This window comes from Homo sapiens, chromosome 7, assembly GCF_000001405.40.
Source record: "Homo sapiens chromosome 7, GRCh38.p14 Primary Assembly".
In the NCBI taxonomy this organism is placed as follows: Eukaryota; Metazoa; Chordata; class Mammalia; order Primates; family Hominidae; genus Homo; species Homo sapiens.
The window spans coordinates 76951679-76967688 of NC_000007.14; the positions used below are offsets into that span (position 1 = coordinate 76951679).

Below are 16010 nucleotides of genomic sequence, written 5' to 3' on the forward strand. Positions count from 1 at the left end.
TACCATTGTTCCTGTAGATAGGATTTCTGACATTAGAGTCAGAAGACTGTTTTAAGAATTTATTTGGGGATCTTCTGGGGCTGTATCACAGGGGGAAAAGTGAAATTAAAAAAAAAAAAAACACAATCAATTTGGGCTGGGCGCGGTGGCTCACACCTGTAATTCCAGCACTTTGGGAGGCTGAGGTGGAGGGATCTCTTGAGCCCAAGAGTTAGAGACCAGCCTGGCCAACATAGTGCAACTCCATCTCTACCAAACAAAATATAAAAATTAGCCAGGCATGGTGGTGAGTGCCTGTATTCCCAGCTCCAGAGGCTGAGGTGGGAGGATCACTTGAGCCCAGGAGTTGGAGGCTGCAGTGAGATATGATCCAGCTACTGCACTCTAGCCAGGGCAACAGAGCAAGACCCCAACTCAAAAAGAAAAAAAAAAGGAATTTAGATTAAAAAAGAAAAAGGGCTCGAGTTTGAATGCAGTGGCTCAAGCCTATAATCCCAGCACTCTAAGAGGCTGAGGTAGGAAGATCGCTTGAGCTCAGGAGTGCCAGGCTGCAGTGAGCCGTGATCATATCACTGCACTCTAGCCTGGACAACAGAGTGAGACCTTGTCTCTAAAACAAAACAAAACAAAACAAAACAAAACTTGAGAATGGGCCAGACGCGGTGGCTCACGCCTGTAATCCCAGCACTTTGGGAGGCCAAGGCGGGTGGATCATGAGGTCAGGAGTTCAAGACCAGCCTGGCCAAGATGGTGAAACCTCGTCTCTACTAAAAATACAAAAATTACAGCGTACCTGTAATCCCAGCTACTCGGGAGGCTGAGGCAGGAGAATCGCTTGAACCTGGGGGGCGGAGGTTGCAGTGAGCCGAGATCGTGCCACTGCACTCCAGCCTGGGTGACAGAGCGAGACTCCATCTCAAAAAAAAAAAAACAAAAACTTGAGAATGATAGTGTTACAGGAAAGGGGTCCCTACCCAGACCCCAAGTGAGGGTTCTTGGATCTCACGCAAGAAAGAATTCAGGGCGAGTGCATAAAGTGAACGCAAGTTTATTAAGACAGTAGAGGAATGAAAGAATGACCATTCCATAGACAGAGCAGCCCCGAGGGTGGCTGGTTACCCATTTTTATGATTATTTCTTGATGATATGCTAAACAAGGGGTGGATTATTCATGCCTCCCCTTTTTAGACCACATAGGGTAACTTCCTGACGTTGCCATGGCATTTGTAAACTGTCATGAAGCTGGTGGGAGTGTAGCAGTGAGGACGACCAGAGGTCACTCTCGTCGCCATCTTGGTCTTGGTGGGTTTTAACCGGCTTCTTCACTGCAACCTGTTTTATTTATTTATTTATTTATTTATTTATTTATTTATTTATATATTTTTTGAAACGGAGTCTCGCTCTGTCACGCAGGCTGGAGTGCAGTACCGCGATCTCGGCTCACTGCAAGCTCCGCCTCCCGGGTTCACGCCATTGTCCTGCCTCAGCCTCCCGAGTAGCTGGGACTGCAGGTGCCCGCCACCATATCCAACTAATTTTTTGTATTTTTAGTAGAGACGGGATTTCACCGTGTTAGCCAGGATGGTCTCGATCTCCTGACCTTGTGATCCGCTCGCCTCAGCCTCCCAAAGTGCTGGGATTACAGGCGTGAGCCACCGTGCCCGGCCATCACTGCAACCTGTTTTATCAGCAAGGTCTTTATGACCTGTATCTTGTGCCAACCTCCCATCTCATCCTGTGACTTAGAATGCCTTTACCATCTGGGAATGCAGCCCAATAGGTCTCAGCCTCATTTTATCCAGCCCCTATTCAAAATGGAGTTGCTCTGGTTCACCCGCCTCTGACAATAGTAGAAGTTAAAAAAAAAAAATAACTTCTTTAACTCCACTCCAGGTGGCATTTCTTAGTGCCTCTGAAGGTTCTGATCTAGAACCAGCCCCCAGCTCACCCAGAGCAAGGAAAGATCATGAAAACCCAAGCAGAAGCAAGACACTGGGTTCCAGCATCAATGCTAAGGGCTAGAACATTTTCTGATGTTTTGCTTGGAAAGGCAGAATTTGGTTGTCTAGTGCGTCCACTAATTGGCCTCCATCTGACACCCTGGAGGGATGGGCTGATTAGAAGCCACAGCTGCTTTGCTCATTATTTCTGATGAATGGACATCACCTGGCGTCTCCGGTGATGGCGCCAGCTCAGGACCCAGGTGTGACCTGCACAACAAAGAAAAGCAAGATAGCTTTGCAGCCAACATGGTGAAACCCCATCTCTATTAAAAATACAAAAAAAAAAAAATTAGCCGGACGTGGTGGCGGGCGCCTGTAATCCCAGCTACTCAGTAGGCTGAGGCAGGAGAATCGCTTAAATCTAGGAGGCAGAGGTTGCAGTGAGCCAAGATCATGCCACTGCACTCCAGCCTTGGCGACACAGAGAGACTCTGTCTCAAAAAAAAAAAAAAAAAAAAAAAGATGGCTTTACAGCCCTGAGGAGTAAACCAGTCTTCCCCAAATAATTATCTTATGTAAGTCCCAGCCCCTTGGAACATGTTTTGAAAGGGCTCACCCATCTGGGCAGGTGACTCACGCCTGTAATCCCTGCACTTTGGGAGGCTGAGGCAGGCGGATCACCTGAGGTCAGAAGTTCAAGACCAGCCTGGCCAACATGGCGAAACCCATCTCTACTAAAAATACAAAAATTAGCCAGGCATGGTGGGACACGCCTGTAGTCTCAGCTACTTGGGAGGCTGAGGCAGGAGAATCACTTGAATATGGGAGGTGGAAGTTGCAGTGAGCCGGGATCATACCATTGCACTCTAGCTTGGGCAAGAAGAGTGAAACCCCATCTCAAAAACAAAAGAAAAGGCTCACCCTTTTCACTGGTTCCCTTGTGGCAAATCTAAAATAAGGTACGTGTGCTCGCCGTTCATTCATCTGAAAAGTTCTAACAGTTTGCAAATACCCTCTACCCATACCCCACCCCCACGTGTTGTCCTTTTTTTTTTTTTTTTTTATTTGAGACAGAGTCTCACTCTGTTGCCCAGGCTGGAGTGCAGTGGCGCAATCTCGGCTCACTGCAAGCTCTGCCTCCCGGGTTCACGCCATTCTCCTGCCTCAGCCTCCCAAGTAGCTGGGACTACAGGCGCCCGCCACCATGCCCGGCTAATTTTATTTTATTTTATTTTTGTATTTTTAGTAGAGACGGGGTTTCTCCATGTTAGCCAGGATGGTCTTGATCTCCTGACCTTGTGATCCGCCCGCCTCGGCCTCCCAAAGTGCTAGGATTACAGGCATGAGACACCGCACCCGGCCCTTTTTTTTTTAAGAGACAAGATGTCACCCTGTCACCCAGGCTGGAATGCAGTGGTGTCGTCATAGCTCACTGCAGCCTGGACCCCCTGGGCTCAAGTGATCCTCCTGCCTCAGTCTCCCAAGTAGCTGGGACCACAGGGGTGTCCCACCACACCCAGCTAATTTTTTTATTTTTTGTAGAGATGGGGTCTTGTCTTGTCACCCAGGCTGGTCTTAAACTTCTGAGCTCAAGCGATCCTCCCACTTGGACCTAGCCAGGTGCTGGGATTATGGGTATTAGAGTTTAAATTTCTTTGCTCAACACCACTCCCCATTTTGTGGCCAACAGTCACATTCTTTCTTGGGCCACGTCATTCATTTTCAGTTGCTTCAGAGCACTGGTGGCCCCTTGGGTGTGTTGAACAAACCCCAGCCTTTGAGGAGTTCAAAAAAAAAAAAAAAAAGACACCATCTCTAGGCGGAAAATTTCAGACAAAGAACCCCTGCCAGGAATATTTCCTGCCGCTGCTCCTGCCACTGCCCCTTAGGCTGTGGACCTTTATGCAAGAACGCAAGTGGCAAACTGCCCTACTGTGTATGTTGTGGGGAGTGGGGGTACTGCCAGAGAGGAGAGAGCCCTATTTTATTTTATTTTATTTTATTTTAAAGACAGAGTCTCACTCTGTTGCCCAGGCTGGAGTGCAATGGCACGATCTCGGCTCACTGCAACCTCTGCCCCCTGGGTTCAAGAGATTCTCCTCCCTCAGCCTCCCCAGTAGCTGGGATTACAGGCGCATGCCACCACGCCTGGCTAATTTTTGTATTTTTAGTGGAGACGGGGTTTCCCCATGTTGGCCAAACTCCTGACCTTATGTGATCCTCCCACCTTGGCCTCCCAAAGTGCTGGGATTAGAGGCATGAGCCACTGCGCCCAGCTGACAGCCCTCTCTAAATCTTTAAAAATTCAGTCAGGCGTGGTGGCTCATGCCTGTAATCTCAGCACTTTAGGAGGCTGAGGCAAGAGGAATGTGTGAGCCCAGGAGTTTGAGACCAACTTGGGCAATATGGTGAGACCCTATCTTGACAGAAAATACAAAAATCAGCCTGGCATGGTGGTGCACGCTTGTAGTCCCAGCTACTCAGGAGGCTGAGGCAGGAAGATCACTTGAACCCAGGAGGTCGAGGCTGCAGTGAGCTATGATCACGCCACTGTACTCCAGCCTGGGAGACACTGTCTCAAAAAATAAATAAATAAAATCTTTAACAATTCTTCAGCTTATCCCCCTACCTTCTGGGGCTTCTTGGGTCTCTTCCCAGAAACTTTCTTCGTCTGTAAGCCCGTTTATTGTATGCAATTGTTTAAAAAACACAAATGGGTGCATATTCTCATATTCTCTACCCTCTATTTTGAACGTTCCTTTTTTTTCTTTTTTTCAGACCGAGTCTCAGTCTGTCACCCAGGCTAGTGCAATGGTGCAATTTTGGCTCACTACACCCTCTGCCTCCCAGATTCAAGCGATTCTCCTGCCTCAGCCTCCCGAGTAGGTGGATTACAGGTGTGCACCGCTGCACCCAGCTAATTTTTGTATTTTTAGTAGAGACGAGGTTTCACCATGTTGGCCAGACTGGTCTTGAACTCCTGATCTCAGGTGATCCACCTGCCTCCGCCTCCCAAAGTGCTGGGATTATAGGCATGAGCCGCCTTGCCTGGCTCAAAGTTCCTTTTTGGTTTAACAATAGATCTAGGCCACTGTGAGTCTTCCTCATTCCTTCTAGGGCTACCTAGTGTTCCGGGGTTATTTAACCAGCCCCCTCCTACCAGGCAGTTCTTTTGTCTCTGGCCCTTTGCTACGTATATTAGTTTAAAGTTCACTTTGCAAGTGGCCAAGGCTGTTTCCCTCATTTCCAGGTTCCCAGGGGGCAGACATCCTGCTGCAATTTCAGAAGTCAGCACACTCTTCTCTCTCCTGTCTAAAATACAAAAGTCCATGCCCCCCACTCTCCCTCTTGATACTGTCCTATTTTACTTCTTTTCACAACCAGAACTCTTTATTTTTCCCAAATAAAAATAGTCCGTCTTTTCAGATTTTAAAAATGGAACTCTGGCCGGATGCGGTGGCCCTCACCTGTAATCCCAGCACTTTGGAAGGCTGCAGTGGGCAGATTACCTGAGGTCAGGAGTTTGAGATCAGCCTGGCTGACATGGTGAAACTCTGTCTCTACTAAAAATACAAAAATTAGCCCGGATGCGGTGGCTCACATCTGTAATCCCAGTACTTTGGGAGACCGAGGTGGGCAGATCACGAGGTCAGGAGTTCAAGACCAGCCTGGCCAACATGGTGAAACCCTGTCTCTACTAAAATACAAAAATTAGCTGGGCATGGTGGCATCCGCCTGTAATCACAGTTACTCGGCAGGCTGAGGAAGAATTGCTTGAACCTGGGAGGCGGAGTTTGCAGTGAGCTGAGATTGTGCCATTGCACTCCAGCCTGGGCGACAGAGCAAGACTCCATCTCAAAAATATATATATATACAAAAATTAGCTGAGTGTGGTGGTGCATGCCTGTAATCCCAGCTACTCGGGAGGTGAGGCAGGAGAATCACTTGAACCTGGGAGGCGGAGGTTGCAGTGAGCCGAGATTGTGCCATTTCACTCCAGCCTGGACAACAAGAGCAAAACTCGTCTCAAAAAAAAAAAAAAAAAAGGAAAATAAAAATCCCTGATAAAGGATCAATGACCTTAGGATAATGTCATTCCAGGTAAGTATCTTTAACTGGGTACTTGGTCCTCCAAGATTCAGAGGACCTTGATCCCCCTGAAACTGTATACATAATATTCAACATACATAGTATGTGCACACATGTGCAAACACTCACATTATCTAAAATTCATCATAATCTTACCCCGGCTTCTCCCCATACTCCTCAGATCCTGCTATAGCCTAGTGCATTTTCTCCTTCCTCACTCCCTTCCCTCCATGTGTCCTCTGCCCTGGCCACCAGGAACTTTGTGCTGCCTCCGGAGTGCATGAGGCACTTTCACATCTCTCTTGCTTTACAAGAGCTTCCCTATGCTCCAACTGGCAAATTTCTCTATGGACTGAAAAACCCACATAGCCTTTATCTGTCTTGTGATGTCTTCTCCCCACCCTCAAGTTAGGCATACCCTTCTATGCCCTCCTTTATCCAAACATTTTCCCCACTATATCGTAATTGTGTGTTTAAGTGCCGGACTTTCCAACTAGATACAAAGCTTTCCCAGGAAAGAAATCCTTTTCTTTTCTTCTTTCTTTCTTTTCTTTTCTTTTCTTTCTTTTTTTTTTTTTTTTTTTGAGACAGATTCCCACTGTGTCGTCCAGGCTGGAGTGCAGTGGCACAATCTTGGCTCAGTGCAACCTCCACCTCCAGGGTTCAAGTGATTCTCTTGCCTCAGTCTTCCAAGTAGCTGGGATTACAGGCACGCGCCACCACACCCAGTTAATTATTATTATTATTATTTTTTTTTTTTGTTTTTGAGACGGAGTCTCGCTCTGTCACCCAGGCTGGAGTGCAGTGGCACAATCCCGGCTCACTGCAAGCTCCGCCTCCCGGGTTCACGCCATTCTCCTGCCTCAGCCTCCCGAGTAGCTGGGACTACAGGAGCCCACCACTACGCCCGGCTAATTTTTTTTTTTTTTTTTTTTGTAATTTTAGTAGAGACGGGGTTTCACAGTGGTCTCGATCTCCTGCCCTCGTGATCCGCCCGCCTCGGCCTCCCAGAGTGCTGGGATTACAGGCGTGAGCCACTGCGCCCGGCCTCCACACCCAGTTAATTTTTGTATTTTTAGTAGAGACGGGGTTTCACCATGTTGGCCAGGATGGTCTCAATCTCTTGACCTTGTGATCTGGCTGCCTCGGCCTCCCAAAGTGCTGGGATTACAGGCGTGAGCCACCGCTCCCGGCGAGAAACCTTTTCTTTTTCTTTTTTCTTCTTCTTCGTCTTTTTTTTTTTTTCTTTTGAGAGGGATTCCTGTTCCGTCGCCCAGGCTGGAGTGCAATGGCGCGATCTTGGCTCACTACAGCCTCTGCCTCCCGGGTTTAAGCGATTCTCTTGCCTCAGCCTCCCGAGTAGCTGGGATTACAGGCACGAGCCACCACGCCCGGCTAGTTTTTTTTTGGTATTTTTAGTAGAGACGGGGTTTCGCCATGATGGCCAGGCTGGTCTGGAACTCCCGACCTCAGGTGATCCGCCCACCTCTGCCTCTCAAAGTGCAGGGATTACAGGCATGAGCCACTGCGCCCAGCCAAGAAACCATTTCTGATTCACCTATTCACTCCCGCACTCCCACTACACAGTAGCTAAATAAATAAATAAATATTAAAAATAAATAGGAAAGAAAGAGAGAAAAAAAGAAAAGAAAAAGACAAAAATTTAAATTTAAAAAGGTTGTGCTCGATGGCTCACACTTGCAACCCCAGTGCTTTGGGAGGCTGAATGAAGCAAGAGGATCGCTTGAGGCCAGGAGTTTGAGATCGGCCTGAGCAACGTTGCAGCATTGCAAAACCCCCATCTGTACAAAAAAGAAAAATAAAATTAATTTTAAAAACAAAAAAAGAGAAACAGTAGCACATGTATGTACTGGCACCATGTATGTACTAGTAAAAACTAGTTAAAATTAAGTCAGTAATTAATGAAGGAATAAGTCAATGAGTGAGCAGGCGAAGGAAGAAAACATAGACCGGAGCAGGTGCGCCTTGGGTTGAGCCCTTCCCCGCTGAGCCCCGCCTTCTGCCCGCCCCTGGGCCCTACCGGGACTACATTTCCCAGAAGGCCGCACGCCCCGGGCATGCGCAGCGGCTCGCTCGGAAGCTGCGACGCCGAGTTTCACTCTGGCTGCCTTCTCCTGAGAGTCGGAGCCACAGCCAGAGCCCTGCCCAGGCCGAGCCGGAGCTGCAGCCCGAGCGCGGTGGTGCCCTCAGCCCCGTCCTCTTGTCCTCCTCAGCCTCGGTGAGAGGGCGGGAAGGCCACCTGCGCGTCGCTAGGGCTGCGGTCCCAGGGGCGCGGGGGGGCGCGGGGAGCCGGAGCCTAGCTGGGACCGGAAGGGGGCGGGCGTGGGTGTGAGGGGGACCGACGGCCGGGGCGGCGGGGACACCCGGGGGTCCCGGGAGATCGGGGGTGTCGGGGGGATCGGTCTCCGGGATCAAGGTCCTGAGGGCGAGAGTTGGGGGACTTGGGAGGCGCCGGCAGCTTTGGACGGGACAGGGTGCCGGGTGCGAAAGGGGACGTTCGGATGAAGGCTGAGGGGCTCGCAGGCGGAGGGGCGCGGTTCCGGGTCGCTCGGAAGGCGCGCACCCCTTCCCAAAGTACCCAGAGGAGGGGGTGACGAGATTGCCACCGGCTCCCTGACGAGGGGTTGGTCCTGCTGGGGTCTACCCCCAGGTGAAGGGACTCACTGGGCCGGGGGTTGTACTTTGGAGGAGTTTGCTTCCTAACTCTGCTTCCCTGCTTTCCTGTGGGGGGTCTTCCCAGGAGTTCCTGGGGCCCTGGGTCACTTTTTGGGGTGCGTAAGGGGTGCCGAAAAAGATTTAGAACTCGGTTCCCTTTTCTGGAGCTGCGCTTTCATCGCGACTGTCTCAGCCAGCTGCCCTCCTCCTCCAAGCTGGCTCCACTTCTCTAAGCGCCAACAGCGATGGAAATAAATAGCATGTGTACAGACGCCTGGACCCTTGAGAAACTCAGAATATTTCTGCATGCCTTCCTAGCTCCTCTAGCGCTCTAGAAGGTAGACTTTCTGGTAGCCACCATCCGGGCTTAAGCCATCCGGATAGCAAGCCCTCTGATTCGGTTGCTCTGTGACCTTAAATATTTACCCTCTCTGGTGTGTTGATTTCCTGGATGCTTAGCTGCCAGACTGGCTTATGAAGTCCTTTTAGAGTTTTCTGTAAAAGGGCTCAGGCCAGGCACGGTGGCTCATGCCTGTAATCCCAGCCCTTTGGGAGGCCGAGGTGGAAGGATCATTTGAGTCCAGGAATTTGAGACAAGCCTGGGAAACGAAGAGGATTCCTGAGATCACTGTCTCTATAAAAAATCAGATGGGCGTGTTGGTGGGTGCCTGTAGTCCCAGCTACTTGGGAGGCTGAGGCAGGAGGATCGCTTGAGCCCAGGAGTTGGAGGCTGCAGTGAGCTGTGATCACACCACTGCACTGCAGCATGGGCGACAGAGGGAGACCCCGTCTCAAAAAACAAAAAACAAACAAACTAAAAAAACGAACTTTTTTTTTTTTTAAGAAAAGGGCTCAGAGCCAGGCGTGGTGACTCGAGCCTATAATCCCAGCTACTCGGGAAGCTGAGGCAGGAGAGTAGCTTGAACCTGGGAGGCGGAGGCTGCAGTGAGCCGAGATCACGCCACTGCACTCCAGCTTGGGTGACAGAGCAAGACTCCGTCTCCAAAAACTAATAATAATAAAAAATTTTAAAAAGAGCTCAGGGTTTTTTTGTTTGTTTGCTTTTTGTTGTTTCTTCAACCATCTCCTTGATTGTTAAGTGGGTGGAGGAAGACTGTTGTACCTCGTGCTCCACCCAGGCTATTGGAAAATAAATCTGGTGATTTTCAGTCCCCAGGCACAGCACACGGATCCAACATCTGTACCTTTGTTTTTACTAACTGCTGTTTCTTAATTTAAAACCTGATCATCTTCTTCCTCGTTGGCAAAGGTGCCTTGGAATTTGTGTCGCTGAGTCAGCAAGCCTTTCAGATTTGCCCGGTTTTTGTTGTTTGTGGTTTGTATCAAGATGGGAACTCAAACAAGTCATTCCTCCTAAGGAGCTGGTGTCTTCATCCAGAAGGGACAGTTTGTGCCAGCTCTCCAGAGAGAAAAGGTGAGAGCCATGGGGACTTGACCTTGCTGCCTTCTCTGTCTGGTGCAGAGAAGGTGGGGATTGGGGAGGGTGGAATTTGAGGTCTGCAGGATAAACGTGTGCCCTGGGAGTTGACTGTTGATTGCCACCTGTCTCAAATAAATTGCAGTGGCGTCTTGCCACTGCTTCTCCTGTTTAACTAACTAGTCTTAGAAGATGCTTTCCACTTTAAGACATGCTTTATGGGATAGAAGACACAAGTCACGATTTCTGCATTTGAAGTGGCAGTTTTCATTTCTTTTGTTGCATAAACCCTTACTGGGTGCCAGATAAGATCTCTGTCTTTTGGGAGTGCATTGTTTGGTGGAAAAGACAAAGCAGAGTCAGTGACAAGGTGTTGTCAGTGTGATATATACTGAGCTGGGAGAAATCACAAGGCTCTCCTACCCACATCCAGAAAGGGGACGGTTAGAGGGAAGGTCAGGAAGGCTTCTGGAAGGTGGTAGTTGAGGGGGGTTGTGAAGGAGGAGTAGGACTTAGAAAGTGGGGCACAGTCGCCTGGGAGAGGAGTCAGCGTTTGCAAAGTCATGAAGCTACCGGGACACAGCTGGGCTACTGTAAGTAGCTGAGTATGTAATAGAGGAGGCTGGAAAAGCAGGCAGAGGGCTCTGAGCGAGGAGGGTTATGTGGGCCATGCCAAGACTCGGGAGTGGAAGGATTTTAGGAGATTTCCATGAGGGTCATTTTATTAATTATTTTTTTGAGTTGGGGTCTGCTTCTGCTGCCCAGGCTGGAGTGCAGTGGAGTGATCATAGTTCACCACAGCCTCAAATTCCTGGGCTCTGGGGTAGCTGAGGTGCCTACCACCATACCCGACTAATAATTTTATCTAGAGACAGTGCCGCTCTACGTTGTCCAGGCTGGTCTCTAACTCCTGGCCTCAAGGGATCCTCCCATCCCAGCCTCCCAAAGTGCTAGGATTACAGGCCTGAGCCACCGTGCCTGGCCTCGTGAGGGACATTTTAAAGGAGCACACTGGAACATGTGGAATGGGTTTAGACTGGATTATTCGCTTTGTGGCGGTCTTCTTACATCATGCCAGCTTCTTCGTGGGGAGAGGCAGGTGAGTGGTTTTGCCCTCAGTTGCTTATAGTCTAGTTGAAGAGATAAAGTGGACATAGAGAACTGAAAAGGAACTTGCTAAGAGGGTGTTTTCTTTCATTCTTTTTGTTGTTGTTGTTTTGTTTTGTTTGTTTACTTTTTGAGACAGGGTCTTACTCTGTCACCCAGGCTGGAGAGCGGTGGTGCAATCTCAGCTCACTGCTCAACTTCACCTCCCAGGCTCAAGAGGGTCTTGTGCCTCAGCTTCCCGAGTAGCTGGACTTACAGGTGCACACCATCATGCCTGGCTGATTTAGAGGGTGTTTGCTTTCTGCTGGGCACGTCCAGGCATCGTGGGAAGTGCTGTTTAAATTGGGCCATAAAAGGGTGGGTAAGGTGAGGACAGGGGACCAAGTGGGTGGGATTCAGGGTGGAGCAGAGTCATGGGGGTCGGGACAGACACGCTGATGCACATGGGAGTAGTGGATCCTCATTTACACTCTGGAAGGGAATTGTGGAGAGGGAGGTATAGATGAGGGGATGGAAGGGAAGGGCACCGGCAAATATTGTTGATAGCGAGGGAAGGGCGGTATTGTGATCGGCTTTGACTGTCAGCCTAAGGAATTTGAATTTCATTCTAGAGATCCAGGGGAGGTGTGTAAAAGACAGGATCAGAACGTTAGTTCAGGAAGCTTAATCTTTTCTGCCCCCCCATCTGAGATGTACAAGAGGGTTAGAAAGCAGAGTTGGAGAAGCTGTTTGGGAGGGAGCACTTATTTGTTTTTTTGTTTTGTTTTGTTTTTTTGAGATGGAGTCTCGCTCTGTTACCCAGGCTGGAGTGCAGTGGCGCCATCCTGGCTCACTGCAACCTCCACCTCCCGGGTTCAAGTGATTCTCCTGCCTCAGCTTCCCAAGTAGGTAGGACTACAAGCACCTGCCACCATGCCTGGCTAATTTTTGTATTTTTAGTAGAGACGGGGTTTCCCTCTGTTGGCCAGGCTGGTGTCGAACTCCTGACCTCAGGTGATGCACCCACCGAGGCCTCCCAAAGTGCTGGGATTACAGGCGTGAGCCACTGCGCCCGGCAGGGAGGGGGTAAAGTGAGAGGCATAAGGGTCCCGGCCAGGTGTTAGCAGGGGGCTTCAGAGGTGAGGAGAGAGCAGGGCAGGCAGCTGCTAGGCCTGGGGGAGCGGGCTGCGGAGGACTGAGAATCTGAGGTTTTTCTCTTGGCCGCCTGGGGGAAATCCAGGGGGAAAAGGAGAATGAGGAAGGAAGATGCGTTTGGCCTCAGACGTGTTGAAGGTATTAAGAGGCCAACAGGAAATGAGGCCATGGGCTAGAGAGAAGAGCCCTGATTCATTCCCCAAATGCCTCCCGAAATTCTGTGCGCCGAGGCTTGTGTTTGGCACTTGGAGTACAAAGATGAATTCAGCAGTCTCTTTGGTGTTTGCCTTATCAGCTAAGCTGAGAACAAGATTGATTAGTACACACTCCTCAGTGTTCATGCCTGACCTACTTTTCCTTATTTAGTAAGTTATTTTTAATAAATGTAGTAAGTTCTGGCAATCTAGGCACCCAAAACAAAAGCTGGGATCATGAAACAAAAGTATATATCTAATCTTTTTTTTTTAATTTTAAAAAACTTTAAAAAGTTTTCTACTTTATCAGGTCCCCTTAGAACATCTAATCATTTCATTTGAACTTGTTTTCTGTTCTTACCCTGAGGTAATCATTATCTCCTTTCTTTCATTTTTTTTCTTAGTTTTATCTTACATGTGTATTTCTTTGTTTCTCTGTCTCTTTTTTTTTTTTCTTTGAGGCAGAGTTTCACTCTTATTACCTAGGCTGGAGTGCAATGGCACGATCTCGGCTCACTGCAACCTCCGCCTCCCGGGTTCAAGCTACTCCCGATTCTCCTGCCTCAGACTCTGGAGTAGCTAGGATTACAGGCATGCGCCACCATGCCCGGCTAATTTTGTATTTTTAGTAGAGACAGAGTTTCTCCATGTTAGTCAGACTGGTCTCAAACTCCTGACCTCAGGTGATCCACCCGCCTCGGCCTCCCAAAGTGCTGGGATTACAGGCGTGAGGCACCACGCCTGGCCTATTTCTTTCTTTTTTTAGAGACAGTGTCTCGCCTTGTAACCCAGGCAGCTGGAGTGCAGTGGCATGATCACGGATCACTGCCGCCCCAAATTCCTGGGTTCAATGGATCCATCCCCTTCAGCCTCCTGAATAGCTGGGACTACAGGCACAGGCTACCATGCTTAGCTAATTTTTAAAGTTTGTGCAGAGGCAGCTTCACTGTGTTGCCCAGGCTGGTGTTGAACTCCTGGGCTCAAGCAATTCACCCGCCTTGGCCTCCCAAAGTGCTGGGATGATAGACATGAGCCACCATGCTCGGCAGTGTTCATCTTTCGTAGCTATTGCTAGACCATTTCCTGAATGAAGTGCTTATACCAGTATCCACTTTACCAGCAGTGTCCTGTGTCTTGCAGCTCCACAGTCTTACCAACATTTGCTGTTGGCCAAGTGAATGGGTAGAAAATGGAATCTTTGGGAACTTGGTTTCTAGGTCCCTGAGCCCTGCTGCTGAATATCTCCTCTTATGTTTATTGGCATATGTGTTTCCTGTGAAATATTCATGTCTTTTGCCAGTTTTTCATTAGGGTTCTTGGTGCTTTATTTTTTGTTGATCTATAGGGCTCTTTATATATTGCTGATTTTAATCCTTCGTGTCTATTGCAAATATCTTCTCCCAGCTTTTAACCTATTATTCCTCTTTCTTTAAGGTGTCTTCTGTTGATCAGCCATTCTTCATTTTAACATAGCGAAATGTATTTTTTCCCTAGTACTCAGTTTTCTGGGTCTGGTTTGAAGTCTTTTCCTGAACATAACCCTTGCCTTTAAGGAGCGTATGCATTCTCCAGTGGAGGAGACAGATAATGGCACTGAGACGTCATGTGGGCATTGATTGTTAGAAGTGGCCACTTCTGCCTGTGGAGCGGGAGCGAACTTAGGAAAGATCTCACAGGGCAGAGTCTTGAGCTAGGAATTAAGAGATGAGTAAGTGGACAAGTGCGATGGGCATTCTCAGTGGGGGACGAAGGGCATGAAACATCCTGACCTGCCCTGGGCGCTGCCAGGAGGTCCAGATGGCAGGAGCTGATGGTTTGAGGGGCTCGGGCAGGGCATCCCGAGGACAGCTTTGGGTGATCTGTATGCAAGGGAATATTGAAGCCATGGGAACAGATCCTGAGGATCCGGGCGGAATGGAGAGAGGAGGGGAGGAGGGGAGAGGGAGGCCAGGGCCTGATTCCCGGATGCAGAGAATGTTATCAACGCCTGGTGTGGCTCTGGGGAGCACCTGGGACTTCCCAGGGGCGGGTGCTGTTGGCATGCTGCCTGCTGTGCTGTTGGATGCTGTATTTCACCCTTAGGTGTTGGGCAAAGGCTGACATGTCTGCAGAGGGCAGGGCGTGTTGTTGGCAAAGCTAGCCAGAGGCAGAGCACTCTCTCACTTTTTGATAGAGACATGAGTTCAGAGAAGTATTGCTCAACTGTAGGAGTGTGAAAGTACAGTAATAGATGTGAGGGAGGCCACAGGGCAGAGGTCTGCAAACGATGGACCCTCAGCCAAATCTGGCCCACTGCCATTTTTTTTTTTTTTTTTTTTTTTTTTTTTTTGAGATGGAGTCTCACTCTGTTGCCAGGCTGGAGTGCAATGGCACGATCTCAGCTCACTGCAGCCTCCGCCTCCCAGGTTCAAGAAATTCTCCTGCCTCAGCCTCCTGAGTAGCTGGGATTACAGGCACCAGCCACCATGCCTGGCTAATTTTTGTATTTTTAGTAGAGACAAGGTTTCACCATGTTGGCCAGGCTGGTCTCGAACTCCTGACCTCAGGTGATCCACCCCCGCTTGGCCTCCCAAAGTGCTGGGATTATAGGCGTGAGCCACCACGCCCAGCATTTTTTTTTTTTTTTTTTTTTTGAGGCAGGGTCTAACTCCTGCCCAGGCTGGAGTACAGTGGCACAGTCTCGGCTCACTGCAGCCTCCGCCTCCTGGGTTCAAGTGATTCTCCTGCCCCAGCCTCCCAAGTAGCTGGGACTACAGGTGCACGCCACTACGCCTGGCTCATCTTTGTATTTTTTTGGTAGATACGGGGTTTCACTGTATTGGCCAGGCTGGTCTCAAACTCCTGGCCTCAAATGATCCACCCACCTCGGCCTCCCGAAGTGCTGGGATTACAGGCGTGAGCTACCGCATTCAGCCCCACTGCCTGATTTTGTTCATAAAGTTATATTGGTATGCAACCCCTCCTGTTTACACATTGTTTATGGCTGTTCTTGTGGTCTAGTGGCAGAGTCACTGGAAAGACTTTTTCTGTCCTTTACAGGAAAAGCATGCTGGCCCTAGCCATAGGGAGTCGTGGTAGCTGTGGCCACCCAGAGAGGACGTTCCAGCCACCATTGCAGTTTAGCTGGTGTTGCTAGGTAGATCATGGATCTAGGTCCAGCCTGCAAATATTGCCATCTTTTCTGATTTTCAAGGGAAGCTTGAAATCTAGATTTTTTTTTTTTTTTTTACTGTGAATATTCCTTTTTTTTGAGACAGATTCTCACTCTGTCGCCCAAGCTGGAGTGCAGTGGCATAATCTTGGCTCACTGCAACCTCCACGTCTTAGGTTCAAGCAATTCTCCTGCTTCAGCCTCCCGAGTAACTGGGACTACAGGCGCTCGCCACCACACTTGGCTAATTTTTTGTATTTTTTAGTAGAGACAGGGTT

The 16010-nt window shown here is 49.3% G+C and overlaps 1 pseudogene, besides 3 other annotated features; it reads left to right on the plus strand.

Annotated features, from left to right (window-relative positions):
• Window positions 2587–3453: an enhancer, noted in NCBI's record as "H3K27ac-H3K4me1 hESC enhancer chr7:76583582-76584448 (GRCh37/hg19 assembly coordinates)". NCBI's record gives its function as "activates a minimal SCP1, AML or CMV promoter by ChIP-STARR-seq in primed H9 embryonic stem cells {active_cell/tissue: H9 hESC(primed)}" and the evidence as "EXISTENCE:reporter gene assay evidence [ECO:0000049][PMID:30033119]".
• Window positions 3421–3621: a silencer, noted in NCBI's record as "peak6614 fragment used in MPRA reporter construct". NCBI's record gives its function as "represses an SCP1 promoter by STARR-seq MPRAs in K562 erythroleukemia cells {active_cell/tissue: K562}" and the evidence as "EXISTENCE:reporter gene assay evidence [ECO:0000049][PMID:32103011]".
• Window positions 5185–6049: an enhancer, noted in NCBI's record as "H3K27ac hESC enhancer chr7:76586180-76587044 (GRCh37/hg19 assembly coordinates)". NCBI's record gives its function as "activates a minimal SCP1, AML or CMV promoter by ChIP-STARR-seq in primed H9 embryonic stem cells {active_cell/tissue: H9 hESC(primed)}" and the evidence as "EXISTENCE:reporter gene assay evidence [ECO:0000049][PMID:30033119]".
• DTX2P1 (DTX2 pseudogene 1) overlaps window positions 8090–16010 on the plus strand; it is a 44590-nt pseudogene continuing 36669 nt past the window's right edge.